The 17989-nt window shown below is 40.9% G+C and overlaps 1 protein-coding gene across 4 annotated transcripts in view; it reads left to right on the forward strand.

The window, feature by feature from the left end:
- ROR1 (receptor tyrosine kinase like orphan receptor 1) overlaps positions 1-10348 on the forward strand; it is a 407482-nt gene extending 397134 nt beyond the window's left edge. For all 4 annotated transcript variants that reach the window (NM_005012.4, XM_011541526.2, XM_017001377.2 and 1 more), the window contains one exon: positions 6278-10348. In NM_005012.4, coding sequence (NP_005003.2) covers positions 6278-7705 — 1428 coding nt within the window. In that variant the 3' untranslated portion in view covers positions 7706-10348. The remainder of the gene's footprint in view (positions 1-6277) is intronic.

Below are 17989 nucleotides of genomic sequence, written 5' to 3' on the forward strand. Positions count from 1 at the left end.
ACACTGCTGATAAAGACACACCTGAGACTGGGAAGAAAAAGAGGCTTAATGGACTTACAGTTCCACATGGCTGGGAGCGCCTCACAATCATGACGGAAGGCAAGGAGGAGCAAGTCACATCTTACGTGGATGGCAGCAGGCACAGAGAGAGCTTATGCAGGGAAACTCCCCCTTATAGAACCATCAGATCTCATGAGACTTAGTCACTATCACAAGAACAGCATGGGAAAGATCTGCCCCCTGACTCAATTACCTCCCACCAGGTCCCTCCCACAACATGTGGGAATTCAAGATGAGATGTGAGTGGGGACACAGCCAAACCATATCATGAGGCAAGCACAAATGCCATGTGAAACCTGCTATTCTTCTGTAGACACTTGTGTCCAGCCAGAATCAGCTTCAAAAGAATAGCATAGATTTGAAAAAGGGCAGCAGTCAGTCTTGGGACATTAGAACATGGGGAATTAACTGGCCTTGAGTGAAAGGGACCACAGGGGGAGGTTTGGAGCTGACTTATGAATATGGATCCTGTTTCAGCACCTACTGTTGTTAAAGCCCCGTTTCTGTCCCAGAGAACCACCCTGGGCTCGATTCCCTGCACCCTAATGTAGCTCTGTTTTTCATCTGTGTGTCTACTTCAAGTTAGACTCAAAAGTAGAGCAATTATATGACATTATGTTCAAGGCAAAAAGTGACAGAGCAGGCTTCATGTTGCATACAAATGTTGGCAGCTATTGCAAAATCCTCACCGCATATCCTATGGTAATCACTTCCTTAAAGTAAGCAGGAAATAGGTTAGTAGTAGGCTGCTTCACCAGGAGTCATTTCAAATGTATTGTCACCTAAGGTATAACTTCCCAAAGATGGAAAGAGATAAAGCCACTGAGTCTGCCCTCTTTATCCATCTACAGCCACCAAGGTAATTACAGTTTTTAAAAACGCTACTCATAGTTCATTGCTTTCATATCTAAAGTTAAGAGATCTAAAAGTTCCCCCACATCCCCACTTAGCAGTCATGACTAAGGTGAAAAAAGCCACCAGTATCAGCCTGGTCTCTCTTATCAGCAGTTTAGAAAGTACTACAATTTTCCCATCTGACTCACATCTAAATGACTCGCATCTAAAATGTTTTTCCTTAATTTTCCTTCCGTAAAGAGTTCATTTAAACTCTAATACTGTTGCTTTTCAAAAATTTCTAAAGAAAGAAGCATCTTGGAACAATGTATTAACTTCTGCATCAACTTTTATTTCATATAATAATTTTATATAATTTTTTAAAGGCAGATGTGTGTTTACTTTGAGAAGTAAAAATGTTAACATTGAAACTGAAAGCCTGTTTCAGTTTTAAGGTACTTAATTGCCTTACAGCATATAATAAACCGAGGCCATCTTGTCCTTCAACTAATGGAGGGAGTGATAAAGAGATAGGAGCCCGGGACCCTATTCATTCCAGTTTTCCTTTGTACTTGGTTTACTTTGGCACCATGCCTCATGTGTATTTTACACTTCTTTACATTTTGTACATCCCTGTATGACAAATACTTGTCAAACAAAAACTAAACAGATTTATAACCCCTTAACTTGAAATGAGCCAAAATTGAACTGCCAAAACTTTATGACTTCATTTTCTTTCATAGTTTTCCACCACATTGGTTCAAACAGACAAACTCCACTTGAGGTCAAGCAGAGGTCATTTCACTTTCATTACTAAAATATAATTTACAATATGCCAGACCTAAACAAGTTTAGCCTAAAGGGTTTGTATAATGTAAACCATCTGTTCCTCAACAATACAGCTAATTTCCTGCCATCACCGTACAGTCTACTGACTGCTTCTTTAAGGGTTTTTATGATTTTTTAACTAGTTCAGGATTTATGTAAAATTTGAAAATGAGTCTATAGTTAGGATTCATTTGTACCAAGTAACTTGAGCACCTTAAAAATGCAAATCACTGTGGAAATTGTTCCCCTGAAACCAAGCTAGGAGCATTTTTTTTCTGGGCACTTCTTTGCTGGCAGCTGCACAGGTGTTCGAAGGGAAGATTTTGTGGACTCTGCCATTTTAGATGCTTTCCATGCCTCTTTGCAAAGCAAACCCCCCAAATTTAGTTTTCAGTAGCTCTAGTAAATGACTCCTTGGAGAAGACTTGGGATTATATGCTATATGGCCCACTGGATATTGGTGAGATAGGACAAGATACACTTTGGGGTAAAATCTACTTTCTTTCATGTGTCTGAACAGGGAGGAAGAACAATTATAATTCCATAGAGTGACCACATACTGAAGGCTAACCTAGCTCTGTGAGGTGGCAGGCCTCTCAGGCTGAGCCTCCAGAGACATTCGGCTTCAATCTGGGATTGCTGGCCAGCAGGCTTCTCTGGTTTCAAACAGAATGCTGGGGCCGAAAAACAGAGAGCCTTGGAGTTGCAAGTGTGGCTCTTTCGGCTCTCCTGAAAATTCTTGATACTTTCTTTAGCCCCTTTCTCCATCTGTAAAATAGCAAAATTAGGCGTTCTGTTTCCAAAGGCAAGTATATGAGAACAAATTTGCTTACCTCAGTGGAGGGGAATGCAGCTGGCCTTCTTAGCCACGAAGCCCCAAGGCCATGTGTAGGGCTGATGCCAAGGTCCTGTCCACCTCTTCCTCTTTTCCCACCTCCAGAAGTTTGGCTGGCTTGCTTCCTTTACCCATCTGCTACCATCCACTCTTCCACACGAGTTCTTGTTGCCTTCACCTTCATTCACATCTCAGAGGAGCCAGCTACAGGCCACTCAACTTCTCACCCACCCTCAAGCTCCAAAACAAATTCCCTGTCATTTTTAAAGGATTTTTTTTTTTTAACTAGCAACTACAGGAGAACAGAGAAAGATTAACAGGAAGAAAGTTAAACACTCTGCAACTACTTAAGGCTTAAATGGATCTAAATCATTTGCATTACTTTACTTCCTGGATGACTTTCCTAATAAGGATAATAAGAATGATTTAAAGGGCACTTATTAGGTGGGAATTACGTTCATACATCGTTGTATTTAATTCCTACTGCAACAGCTCAAGCTAGATAGTACATTAGTTCATAGATATGGAAACAGAGGTTCAGAAAAGTTAAGAAATTCACCCAAGGTCAGTGATTAATATTATAAGACCTATGCCACAGGATCATGGTGTTAAATAAGTTAATATTTGCTAAGTGCTTAGAACATTATCTGGCACAAAGTAAGTGCTATGTAAGTATTAACTATTATTCATAAAAAGCAGCAGATTCAAGATGCAAACCCAGATTTATAGGAGTCCAAAGCTCACTTAGTTTGAATTATGCCATACTGCCTATGGATACTTTTCAAGCAGTGAAGGAGGAGAGGGTATTGGGTTTCTAACTCCTCATTATACCAGCCTAATATTCCATGAGTTTACTTCCTAATTCCCATTTTCCACAAAGAAGTTTTAGTACTCAGTCCCTTAAAGTTCTCTGTCTCCAAAAGCGTAGAGATCTTATTTTTGTCAAAAAGTAAGTGATGTCTACTTTGCCATTCAAGGGACCTTCACCTAAACTGGATTTATTTACATCATTAGGAAAAGTTCTCATGGAAATCTCCAATCTTAATGTCATGCAGGAAAAATTCACCTTGAGTTACTCTTGCCAGCAAAAGTAAAATCATCTGAGTGCTACAAGACAAAAAAAGTAGGGTTGGCTCAACTGGTTACCTTTCTCATCACCCACACCTTGCTCTCTCAAAGGAATTCTACAAGCTCCCACAAGAATACAGACCCTAAAAGCAAAAGGAAAAATGGTGGATGGACTTACAATTGCAAAAGATATTTCCTAGTTCAGTAAGATGGGAAGATTCGCCTATTGTTTTTTTTTTTTTAAAAAAATAGTTATTTAATTTAAAAAAATAGTAATTTAATAAATTAAATAGTTATTTAATTTAATATATTCACCTGGTTGAAAAATTTTAAAGCATAGAAAAGCAGAACCTCTGCCCCCCTTTTTCTAGTTTCTACTTCCATACCCCCAATAATCACTGCTATCTATTTCCCAAGTATCCTTTCGTAGTTTCTTTATTCTTATACAAAGAAATATGTTTCATGTGTTCTTTTTCTCCTTCTCTCTTACACAAAAGCAGCATCCAGCATTAACTGTTCTGTTGCTTTTTATTTTTAGCTGAGCAAAGGATTTTGCAGACCTTCCCATACCAGTACATACGAAACGTCCTCATTCTTTTTTTTCAAATGTGGAATATTCTATTTACTAGCTCCACTGTAATTGATTTAATATATTCTCTATAGGGACATGGAGGTCATTGATAATATTTTGCTATTACAAACAATACTATATTGAATAGAACTAGATCAATAAGATTTAATTTACTGAAAGTTTAAAGCAACAAATTACCATTACTTTCAGCACAAGTAAACTTTCTAAAACTCATTTCCAAATATAAACCTCACAAAATCTGCTTTGATGAACAAATAAGACCAATTTATAATGAGACAGTTTATTTGCATAGAATAATTAATGTTCCAAAATCCCCAATCCCAATTTGTCCTTTTAAGTGAGTATTTTGCTGCAAGTTTATTTACACTTACAATTAGGTTAGTGGGCATTTTGCCCTGGAAAATATCAGCCTAGAACAAATCTAATCATCATGAATTCTAAATTAGTAGAGTTTGGATAAGAGAACTTTTTTACCAAATTATCTAAACTGTTGTTTTAAACTCTGTACAGAGAGCTCTGGATTTCATATGTATTTCAACATTGTCAGTTTCAGTTAGAATTTTCAGGGTAGTATTCTTTTTTAAAAAATAAGGATTTGAAGGATGGGGATTATTTGAAAAATCAGTTGTATGTAAAATGCATTGTTTTTATTACTTTCTTTTCTAACAAATTAAATGAAACATCAGACTAAATTTGAGGTACATTTTAAAATAGTAAAAACATATAACATTATAGACATTTACTTGCCAAGATCAAATGTCATGATTCAATACTTATTTTCATTGTGAGCTAATGCCTTCACCTGTCTGTCTTAAGGTCAATTAATAAACAACCCACTTGCGAAGACCTAGGGATATACGTTGGTATGAAGGGCAGTGCTTCCAATAAGATTTCCCTTGAAATCTCGTTGTGAGGACAAAATACATGCATAAAAAGAACAGAAACATCAAGTTGATAATAATAACAAAAAGTTAAATAGTACTTACCATGGGCCAGACATAGGTCTGAGTGCTTTACAAACTTTAACTCATAGGTCTGAGTGCTTTACAAACATTAACTCATTAAAAGTTTGCAATAACATGGTAAGTACAATTATTATCATCCCATTTTATAGATGAAGGAATTGAGGCAAAAGTTAAATGTTGTATCTGGGGTCACACAGCTGGTAAGTGGAGAAGGCAGGATTCCAACTCAGACTGGCTATGGAGGCCACTTGTGTAACCAGCCACCACACTGCTTTGTGTATGTGGTGGCATTCACAGTAAAGGCAAAAGAGTCTAGCAAAGAAATGACCATAGTGGTCAGGGAAGGTTTTGCGGGAAGTGGGGCCTGAAACAGGCTTTTTAGAAAACAAAGGATTTAATCAATGGAGAAGACCGCATTTCAGACCTTCCCATCTCTATTGTGAGTACTTCAGAAGGACAATCTTTTGTTTTGGTTTCTCTTTTAGCACAATAAATATTCGAAGAATGGCAGAACATTGGAGGAACAAAAGTATTAGGCAAGAATGTAAATGGTTTCAGGAGTGGACATTGAGAAAACCTATTTAACTAAAGTGATGCCATCACACAGAGAAGTAGCAAGGGATCATGTCAGGAAAGTGAGTTAGGACCAGATTACAAATGCTCTGAGTACCAGGCTGTAGCCTCTGTGGTAGTGCTTCTGACACCCTAATCTTCACAGAAACCACTGGGGTCTTGTTAAATGCACATGCAGATTCAGTAGGTCTGAGGTGGGCCCAAGAGTCTGCATTTGCAGTAAGTTTGGGTGATGCTGATGTTGCTGGTCCCCAGACCACAGTTTGAGTACCAAGACTCTAGACAACAGCAAAAAACCATTTTGTGGCTGGGTTGAGGGAAAGGGATAGGGTAGTGATGGAAAGTTGTCTATGGCACCTCCCCTGAGTTGCAGCCAACGATTTGAAAGATATATAGACCTACAATATTTTATTGAATTTGTTTATAGAACCTTTTTCTATATGCCCCGTCCCTCCTTTCGGATGCAAAGCTGTCTTGCCTGAAGATATGTTTTAAACCACGTTTTTCCTCTCTTTCATACAGAGCAAGGCTAAAGAGCTACCTCTTTCTGCTGTACGCTTTATGGAAGAATTGGGTGAGTGTGCCTTTGGAAAAATCTATAAAGGCCATCTCTATCTCCCAGGCATGGACCATGCTCAGCTGGTTGCTATCAAGACCTTGAAAGACTATAACAACCCCCAGCAATGGACGGAATTTCAACAAGAAGCCTCCCTAATGGCAGAACTGCACCACCCCAATATTGTCTGCCTTCTAGGTGCCGTCACTCAGGAACAACCTGTGTGCATGCTTTTTGAGTATATTAATCAGGGGGATCTCCATGAGTTCCTCATCATGAGATCCCCACACTCTGATGTTGGCTGCAGCAGTGATGAAGATGGGACTGTGAAATCCAGCCTGGACCACGGAGATTTTCTGCACATTGCAATTCAGATTGCAGCTGGCATGGAATACCTGTCTAGTCACTTCTTTGTCCACAAGGACCTTGCAGCTCGCAATATTTTAATCGGAGAGCAACTTCATGTAAAGATTTCAGACTTGGGGCTTTCCAGAGAAATTTACTCCGCTGATTACTACAGGGTCCAGAGTAAGTCCTTGCTGCCCATTCGCTGGATGCCCCCTGAAGCCATCATGTATGGCAAATTCTCTTCTGATTCAGATATCTGGTCCTTTGGGGTTGTCTTGTGGGAGATTTTCAGTTTTGGACTCCAGCCATATTATGGATTCAGTAACCAGGAAGTGATTGAGATGGTGAGAAAACGGCAGCTCTTACCATGCTCTGAAGACTGCCCACCCAGAATGTACAGCCTCATGACAGAGTGCTGGAATGAGATTCCTTCTAGGAGACCAAGATTTAAAGATATTCACGTCCGGCTTCGGTCCTGGGAGGGACTCTCAAGTCACACAAGCTCTACTACTCCTTCAGGGGGAAATGCCACCACACAGACAACCTCCCTCAGTGCCAGCCCAGTGAGTAATCTCAGTAACCCCAGATATCCTAATTACATGTTCCCGAGCCAGGGTATTACACCACAGGGCCAGATTGCTGGTTTCATTGGCCCGCCAATACCTCAGAACCAGCGATTCATTCCCATCAATGGATACCCAATACCTCCTGGATATGCAGCGTTTCCAGCTGCCCACTACCAGCCAACAGGTCCTCCCAGAGTGATTCAGCACTGCCCACCTCCCAAGAGTCGGTCCCCAAGCAGTGCCAGTGGGTCGACTAGCACTGGCCATGTGACTAGCTTGCCCTCATCAGGATCCAATCAGGAAGCAAATATTCCTTTACTACCACACATGTCAATTCCAAATCATCCTGGTGGAATGGGTATCACCGTTTTTGGCAACAAATCTCAAAAACCCTACAAAATTGACTCAAAGCAAGCATCTTTACTAGGAGACGCCAATATTCATGGACACACCGAATCTATGATTTCTGCAGAACTGTAAAATGCACAACTTTTGTAAATGTGGTATACAGGACAAACTAGACGGCCGTAGAAAAGATTTATATTCAAATGTTTTTATTAAAGTAAGGTTCTCATTTAGCAGACATCGCAACAAGTACCTTCTGTGAAGTTTCACTGTGTCTTACCAAGCAGGACAGACACTCGGCCAGAAAAAAAAAAAAAAAAAAAAAACAAGCAAACAAAAACATTGTGGGATGTGCACTCCATTGGAGTGCATGACATGGCATTGGGATTGGAACATGTGGTTTCGAGCACTGAAAGCTGCAAACCAGTGAAGAGGAAAAGAACCTTGTGATTAAATATAAAACCAAAAGTCAAATGGTGCTTTGTGTTTTAGCCTTCAGTCACCATGACTGGTCTCTCCCCCAGATGTATATATACCATAGCATTTGTCTACCTGCTGTCTTTTCTTCAGGACAGATGTTCAGGAATTATATTGATTGAATTTAGACTCTGTGCATGTTCTTATGGAAATGATGTTCAGAATCCATGAAGAAACTTCAGGCCAAATTTGAAACCCTGGAGGGAAATGAGCCATAAGGGAAGTATAACAAGCCCTGAAGCCTTTTATGTCGTTGTGCTTCTTTGGGAAGGTGTAGAGTGTGCCTTTTTGTGAATCCTCCTCTGATCATGAGGGTCTTTCCCACAGTTTCTCACAGTGTGTTTACACTGCCCTTGGAATAACACAGCGCATCAGACCATAAGAAGGCTAGATGTGGATGCTAGAATTGATTGTTGGTTGATAGTTCTCTTTGCTGGATTAGGAATGAGGCGCCAAAGGAAGCACAGCCAGGAAAATGGCCCCACAGCCTAGATCAGCATCTGTGGGAAAGGAAAAAGGGTTCCCATGGGGACAGCCCCCATAGGAGTTTTCTGGAACCAGTAACACTGAAAAATAAGTGTGTGGCTACAGATGAGCACGCCCACCCCTTGCAACTCCCTGTTTACAAGTTGTCCGAGGCATTGGAGTGCTTATGGTCAATGGGCTCTAGGGAAGTAGGAAACTCCATCATGATACAAATGTCTAGTAATTTTAAAGTTTCTTTCCCTTTTTTTCTGTGCTGGAAATGTTCACAGATTTGATTCCCGCCCCAAGAATTACAACAATGTATTCATACAGTCAGTTGGAATCCAAAGGCAATTAATTCTATTTTGCAAAATATGATGGTCTTCCTAAAAAACAAGTACTGAGTTCTCATTTCAAAAGTTACCAAGAACTGAATTCTTTAAACTAGCAAACCGAAGTAACATGACCATTTTTGCCTTAGTGGGAGGTTTCAAATGTGCAGCTCATGGCATTTACCTGCCGACCATCTTTTGCCAAGTTTAGAATTCTTATGCGTTTCAAGTTCTATATAGAAAGTAATTTTACTTTTGATTTTTCTCTTGTTAAAAAAAAACTCCTTTATTCTAAGAACAATGTCTCAAAGTCTCATTTTTACTTTAAAGGTATAAGAGACTTCTAAAGAGACTTACGGGATATAAAAGTAATTCCTGGAAATGATATTTGATGAGGAGAATGTAAGAGAATGAAAAACACATTGATGTTTTCATTTTTAAAAAATACAACTAGCATGAGAAATCAAGAAAATATGTTTACCAAAATGCATTGCAATTTTCCCAAACCTGAGTCTTCAAATAACAAACATGAACTTATAGGTACTGTGAACTAGAAGAATTGGTTATATCCAGATTTCTGGGAGATAAATTAAAACATATTTTTGTGGCATAAATAAGCTGATTCAGAAGTTACATTTCTTAACTTTAGGTAGAGGAGAATATTTGTATCCTTTTGTTGCTATGCAACTGTTTAATGATGAAGCTTCAAACCACAATTTTGTATATCATATGACAATCAATTGTTTTCCAAGAATATTTATTATTTTAAGTACACAATTTCAGTGAATCTTGAGTTTTTCTAGGAGTCCCTTAAAGGGAAATTAGCATTCCATGAGCCAGTAAAATACCTACTCTGGTAAAACATTATTATGGTTAAAAAGTAAATTCAAGTTAGTTTTTTATAAAGAACTATAACATTTATTTTAAACATTTTATAATAACTGAAAACATTAAAGTGAGCAAATGAAATTTCAAAACCACTTGTAATAATGTATTTTATAATCGCACTGTGATACTATATAACACAGTCTCTTTTGTATTAAAATAGTATTTTTTTCACAAGCTGAAAAATATCTTTTCCTTTGTTGACAATGTTTTGTAAGATGACTTTATTTTCAGATCTTTTTCTCCTTTTTTGCACAAAACTATGCTTATGGTTTGTGTCACAGAAGTGAAAATATATCTTTGCATTTTTATATCTGGTCTGTTTTTCTTGTTTCCTTTGTTTTTAACTTGATATAGATTTTCTTCAAATATATAATGGCAATTTTCAGATATCTCACCTTACCATATCTTTCCTTATTTTCACTGCATGCATTTAATCACTGTATTACTTAATGTTTGATTTGTTATTATGGGCATTTCAAATAGGCAAGCATTGAATTGTAATGACAAAAAGGCTATTTTATATTAAGGATATATGCATTTGTATTTCACACACCAGAGATGATATTAAACACTGATTATTTTATGCTGCTGTTTATTAAAAATGTTTACTATAAAATATTATTTCCTGAATATTGCTGTCATAGAGGTATTTGGGGATTTTAACATTTACATTTTATAGAAAGAGGAATCACAATTCCTATTTGCTGTTATTTCATTAAATTTTTTTTTTTCAGTAGGCTTTTAAAACAGACTTGGGCATTATTTTGCTAGCAACCATAGGTGGAGAGGGGAATCCTAATGATTTCATAACTGAATACTATCCACCTATATATGGCAAGCTTTGAATTTTTAAAATCAAAATAATATATTGAATAGTTACAACCAATGGAATATAAAAAATATTTGATTTTAAGAATATAGTTGCATCATTTTCTGCCTTAATATTTCCATATAATCTTAGATATCAAAAGTCACCTCTTTGGACTCTAAAGAAGAAGAGGCTGTGTACATCTTATCATGCCCAACTTAGCTTCCAAACATACTGATAAAATAAATGGGGCCATTTAATTGTCACAACTTATCTTTATGACCTTATTTGCCCAAAAGAAAGAGTTCCTCATCTGGCAATTAATACACATGGTCAAGGAAAATGAGTACCATAATGAAAGTTCAAAGAAGTTGTCCATATCTGCTATTTAACACAGAAAGGAATACAATAAAACCTTTAGGGCCTTATCCATCTGTTTTAGGTACAGCTCTTGTCACCACCTCAACAATCAAACTCAATAAAGCAATCCCTTCACATGGCAGTGAGATCCGTGTCAGGCTGGGTTTCTCCCTCTCACTTGAATTCCTCAGCCTGCCTTTTACCCCCATTTCCTTCTTTTATCTCCCAGCTCTTGACCCTCCTGCCATCCCCAATCCCTTCAACTCTGAGATTCCCTTAATTCCCTAATCACCAACATCTGCAAACTCCTAGCATCACCTTCCCATAATGCCTACTACAATACTGAATAAAGAGGAGCTCTTTTATCCACACATCTTCTAAGATGATTACCTATCCCAGTACTTCTCAAAGTGTGGTTCCCAGAGCAAAGAAACAGCGGCACCCTGGAACTGGTTAGAAATGCAAATTATCAAGCCCTACTTTGAAGTACTAAATCAAGGGATCCACGGGAGATGCTAGGGGTGAAGTTCATCCTCTTAATTTAGACAGCATTTTTTTTTTTTCAGCTAATAGCTCAAATGCTAAAGAGGAAATCCTGGGGATGAGACCCAGAAATTTGTGTTTTAGCAAGCCTCACATGATTCTGATATACTCTAAAGATCAAGAACTGACTTAATTTAAAGGCACGGGGGTGGGTGATCATTACATTCTTTTGTTTGTTTGTTTGTTTGTTTGAGATGGAGTCTCACTCTGTCACCCAGGCTGGAGTCCACTGGCGCCATCTCAGCTCACTGCAAGCTCAGCCTCCCGGGTTCACGCCATTCTCCTGCCTCAGCCTCCCGAGTAGCTGGGACTATAGGCACTCACCACCGCGCCCGGCTAATTTTTTATATTTTTAGTAGAGATGGGGTTTCACCGTGTTAGCCATGATGGTCTCGATCTCCTGACCTTGTGATCTGCCCGCCTCAGCCTCCCAAAGTGCTGGGATTACAGGCATGAGACACCGCGCCAGGCCGATCATTACATTCTTAGTAATGTGCACGTAAGCATTTAATAACATTTTAGCCCCTTTATTCCCCTTTAAAGAAAATCAAGTTTTACTGTAAAATTCAGCACTAAAAGCTGTTTGTGTTAGCCATTTGACAATTAGCTATATTTTTTGAAGTTGTTCCCTTGGATAGAAAACTGACAACATGTAGTCTTTGTCAAGAAGATATTCCTCATCCAGTTCACCTGAGACCTAAATTCTTGGATAGTGGCCAAATGCTTTTTCCTTCATATGGACAAACTCAAAGAAGTTGGTCTCTTAGTACGCGTTTTTTTGACCCATGAACTGATGATTGACAAAACAAAACAAAACAAAAATCCCTTCTATGTTGCAACTTAACAAAGATAAGGTCAAGGATAGGCTGGTCTTTGGGAGGAGGGATAGGCTCAGCCCTAGTAAGCATCAAGCAGGAAGCTGCTGCAGGGGCTCCCCTCCCTCCCTTGCACTTCCTGTGATGCCCTGACCCAGCTGGCTGGATGCAGACACCTGTGGCTTGTTCTGCTGTTTTCCTTGGCCAGCTGGAATCCATCATCAGTCCCTGGCTGGCCATGAGTGCTCTTCTGCCCGGACTTTGCTCTCCTCTGCCTTTAAAGGGCTGAAAGCTCTGAGGAAGGACAGAAAGAGGGATCCAAGGGAGGTTCTGGGGTGCAGTTCATACTCTTCTTAATTTATACGCATTTTTTTCAGCCAATAGCTCTAATGCTAAAGAGGAAGTGCCAGATTAGCGGAGAAAGAACAAGGGAGCACACACAAGAAAGGGTTTTTGCAGCCAAAATATGACTGCATTGAAGTTTGTTACCGTAAATGCCAATGGTAATAGGACGCTGTTAGCTCAAGAAAAGGAGAGTCTTACAAACCATCAAAGCACTCAAGGTCAATGTAATCCTCTGGGAAATTAGGCTGGGAAGGCTTAAAAATATAGACATATAGAGGGAGAAGGTCTGCTGACATATTTATGACTAGTTGAATCTTAAGCACGTATGAATTGCTTACTCACAAATGAGTACCATAACATTTGCTGACCGGGATTGGCAAGATACCTTACCAAATGACTATGTTAGTAAATACAGTCATGCATTACTTAACGAAGGGGATACATTCTGAGAAATGTCCTTAGGTGATTTCGTCACGGTGCAAACATTATGGTGTACAATTACACACACAGTACAGACTGCTACAAACCTAGGCTACATAGAGTATGGCATACTGCTCCCAAGCTACAAACCTGTACAGCATGTTACAGTACTGAATACTGTAGGCAACTGTAATACAATGGCAAGTATTTGTGAATCTAAGCACTTATCATGAATGGAGCTTGTAAAACTGGAAGTTGCTCTGGGTGAGTCAGTGAGTGAGTGGTGGGTATTGTACACTACTGTAGACTTTATAAACACTGTACACTTAAACTACACTAAATTTATTTAAAAATTCTTCAATCATAAATTAACCTTTTGATTTATGAACTTTTTATTTTAACTTTTTGACTCTTGTAATAACACTTAGCTTCAAACATGTACAGCTGCACAAAAATATTTTTTATATCTTTATAAGCTTTTTTCTATTTTTAGTTTTTTTAATTTACTTTTTAAACTTCTTTGTTAAAAACTGAGATACAAGGCCAGGCGCAGTGGCTCACACCTGTAATCCCAGCACTTTGGGAGGCCGAGGCCGGCGGATCATGAGGTCAGGAGATTGAGACCATCCTGGCTAACACGGTGAAACCCCGTCTCTACTAAAAATACAAAAAAATTAGCCAGGTGTGGTGGCGGACGCCTGTAGTCCCAGCTACTCGGGAGGCTGAGGCAGGAGAATGGCATGAACCCGGGAGGCGGAGCTTGCAGTGAGCCGAGATAGCGCCACTGCACTCTGGCCTGAGCAAAAGAGCGAGACTCCGTCTCAAAAAAAAAAAAAAAAAAAATACTGAGATACAAACAGACACTAGCCTAGGCCTACACAGGATTAGGATCATCAGTATCGCTGTCTTCCACCCCCACATCTTGTCCCACTGGAAGATCTTCAAGGACGATAGTACACATGGAGCTGTCATCTCCTTTAACAGTGCCTTCTTCCGGAATTCCTCCTGAGGGATCTGCCTGAGGCTGTTTACAGTTAACTTTTTGTTTTTAATAAGTAGAAGGAGTACAATCTAAAATAACAATCAAAAGTATAGTACAGCAAGTACATAAGCCACTAACACTTGTTTATTATTATCAAGTATTATGTACTATACATAATTGTATGTGCTATACTTTTATGCGACTGGCAGCACAGTACTTTTGTTTATACCAGCATCACCACAAATGTGAGTAATGCATTGCACTCACAATGTTACGATGGCCATGACATCACTAGGTGATAGGAATTTTTCAGCTCCATTAGTATCTTTTGGGACTACCGTTTTAAATGTGGCCTGTTGTTGACTGGAATGTCATTATGCTGTGTGTTACTGAACTGAATTCTTATCTAATAATGCTTAAGAGAAAGGCCCCTCTTTAAAATTAGATGGGACGTTACTTACACTTTGAAAAAGGACAGTATCTTGACATCCTGAAATAAAGATAATTCAGAGAATATTCAATTTGAAGGAAAGCAGTTTTAAATGTCAATCTTCATGGACTTGTGCTCCCAATTGTAAATCCAAACACACACAAAACAACAGAACTACCTACACAAAGCCATAGATTAATGCTTAAGCTCTGCCCAACCGTACGGGCATACGGACCTTGCATCAGAAATAGGTCCAGGACAGACCTTATCCTATGGCAGGTGCTCCTTACCTACTGCAATCCTTGGGCATTAGAAAAAAATTAGTCTAGTTATCATTTGGGCCTATTTTAACACAATTCCCTGAAAGGCTTCTTTTGGGTCTACATGCATTAAAATCACTTAAAAGGGACTGAAACTCCCTAATGGCATAACCTAGGTAGTTTACCAAGAGTCAGTCTAATCAGACTAAAACTAATATTCAGACAAAATGACAGTTTAGGACTTATTTTTCATTCCAGAGTTCACTGGAATTGACTTTAACTGATCGATTTCAAACAGATCAATTCCAAATTGGCCAATGTTGATTGTATTGGTCAGCTTGGCTGCAGCAATAACTCCAAAATCTCAGTGGCTTGCCTTTCAAGAGCAAATGATTATTTCTCACTCATGTCTATCAGCAGAGTTGGTCTGCTGCAGTGGCCCTGTCTCCAGGTCTCTGAAGGACAAAGTGTTCTCATGACAGAGGAAAACAGCAAGAGCAGAACTGAAACACAAGCACTCAAAAACTTCTGTGCAGACAAGTCAGATGTCACATCCTCTCAGTCAACACAAATTCTGAGGCCAAACCTGACTGCAGGACATGGACATATCTCCGCCTGCGGAGAGGTACAGACAGTTGCATAGTCATAAGCAGGAATATAGAATCTTCTTGCAGGAAAGGAAGTGAATAGTTGGGAACAATAATATGATCCCCCAGGCAGCTGAATCCCTGAGTGAATAGAGGCTGTGTAGCAAACCCAGGTGGAAGGGAAATGGCTGTGCTTTAGTCAGGGGTAGGTTGAGGTGGCCTTCTGGTACAGCATGAATCAGCAGGTTTGGAGCACTGGTGCACAGCCCCGCATGTTATGTAACCATGCTACGTGAGGCGCATTAGGTGATTACCCATGTGAGCTCGTGCTTGGCTCAGAGCCGCTATTGTCTGTAAAATATCTAACTACACTGCTAACGCTGTACATACAGCTCACTCATGCCCAGAAAGAGAGTAAAGCCATGTCGAAACTCTAAAATTCCTCGAGTGTTTTTCCAGCTACCTGCCACTCACCCACCAACTCCCCTCGGACTTCAATTAGAACCTGATAATTGGCGTCACAAACAGGATCCTGAGGTGAGTGAGCCTTTTGTCCCCTCTGATTCTGGGTCGGCCATGTGGCCGCAACATGGGTTGTGGTACCCGGTGGCAGCTGTGCTGCTCAGACAGGCTCCAGTGGAAGGAAACCTGGGTGGCAGTAGATGGGTCTGCCACGAGCATGGAGAAGGTGCTGAAGCAGTGGAAGCACAGAACACCAAGAAGGAGCAAGCTTTTGCCCGCAGAGTTGGATGGGCATTTTTGACTGTGCTACAAGAAGTACACACCCAGTCCCTGAGGGATGCAGCACAGGTCAGGGCACTCCAGGCACAGGTGGGTCACCTAACACCCGGCTACACAGCTCAGAAAAAGAGTTAGAAGCTGCCGTGAATGGGGACTTCTAGGTGCAGGCGGGGCATTTGAAGGCTGGCTACAGAGCTTGGAAAAGTAATTCAAGGCTGCTGTGAATCCAGGCCTGGTCTGTTGTCTCGGCTGGAGACCCCCCACTTAGTCTGATACCAAGGAGGAAGAACCTCCGTTGTGGGCTTGCCCAGTGGTTCATCAGAAGGTAGATCATGAAGAGCCATTGCGGCCCCAAGGGCAGGCTCAGGGACCCCCCCACCGTAACACAACATACTTCATATACTGCTTGTACCCCAACTGAGCTGCAGGAATTAGGCAAGCAGTGCCACAGCATCCAGGGCAAACTCTGCCCACATGGATGCTTTGTTTGTGGAATGAGGGAGCAGGTAGTATCTCCTATTCCACGTCTGAGATGGAAAAGCTGGTCTGTATCATGACTCACCCCTCCCTCCATCAGCAGCTGCAAGTAAATAGGTGACCACACCACAAGGGCAAGGTGACCACACCCTGACTGAGTGGCTAAGGGCAGCCATATGGACTGTGTGGAATGATGCCGGTGAAATACCCAAAACCATGAGTAAATGGCAGTCGTATACCGATTTGGTGCAAGTCATCTGGGAGATGGGTATGCAGCAGGCTATGTTTGGCCTGAATACCCAGGGGCCAGATGATGAAAGTTTCACCTCCCACATGAGGGATCTCTTATAGAGTTCTGCCCCACTGAGTGCCTTTGGCTTCCTAGCTGCTGTCTTCACTCGGTACATAGAGCGCAGCGTACATGAAGTGACCACTGCTATGGCAGGTCTCAGGCAAGCTGAAGACCATCCGCAGGACTGAGGGGTCTGTGCCATAAAGAAGGGGAAGATGCTCCACCTGAAGGGTGCCCCACCATGGGAGAAAAGGGCCCCAATGAGTGACACACACAGATGTGGATAGATTTGATTTTGGCCAGGGTTGACTGAGGGAAAATCCATAAGCAGCCCAATGAAGGACTCTTAACTTTGTGGAGACAGTTGTCTCCGGAGCAGCAATTCCAGAAAATGTCCAAGGGGGAGAAGGACATTGCTGTGTGACCCAGTCCTGCCCAGGCGCTTCAGCTTAAAGACTACTTGCTGCAACCAGGCAGAAATGTAGAGGCTTTTCTCTTCGATTAGGGAACTGGCCAAGGTGCCCAGCCTGGGGGGACACTAAACAACCAGAGGCCACATGTGGAATTAGCGATCCAACGGACAGCGGGTGCCAGCACTGGTGGATACTGGCGCCAATGGCAGCCTTGTTTATAGGAACCCAAATAAGTCTCTGGGCAAACCTTTTTACATTGATGGTTATGGAGGCTGGTCAGTGAAAGTGAAACCTGTATCTCTGCACCTTGGCATTGGCCGTTTGGCTCTCCGTTTACATACTGTGTGTATCTCTCCCACATCTGAATACATTCTGGGGGTGGACATTTTACATGGCCTGGTGTTACAAAGTATGGCCGCGGAATTCAGACTCTGAGTGCATGTGGTGAAGCCAGTGCTGCGTGGACATACACATCACCAGCCTCAGGTCCTACCACAACCCCAATGGGTTACTTCCACCCGTCAATACCATTTGCTGGGTGGGCATACAGAGATAACTGAGACAATTAAGATGCGGGAGGAGGTGCAGATAGTGCATGGCACCCACAGCCCCTACAATTCTCCAGTGTGGCCAGTTAGAAAGCCTGATGGAACTTGGCAGATGGCGGTGGACTATCAGGAACTGCATAAATTAACACCCCCTTTGCATGCAGCTGTACCATCAATCATGGATTTCATGGACCATTTGACGATGGAACTGGGACAGTACCACTATGTAGTGGACT

This window comes from Homo sapiens, chromosome 1 (genome assembly GCF_000001405.40).
Source record: "Homo sapiens chromosome 1, GRCh38.p14 Primary Assembly".
Lineage (NCBI taxonomy): Eukaryota > Metazoa > Chordata > Mammalia > Primates > Hominidae > Homo > Homo sapiens.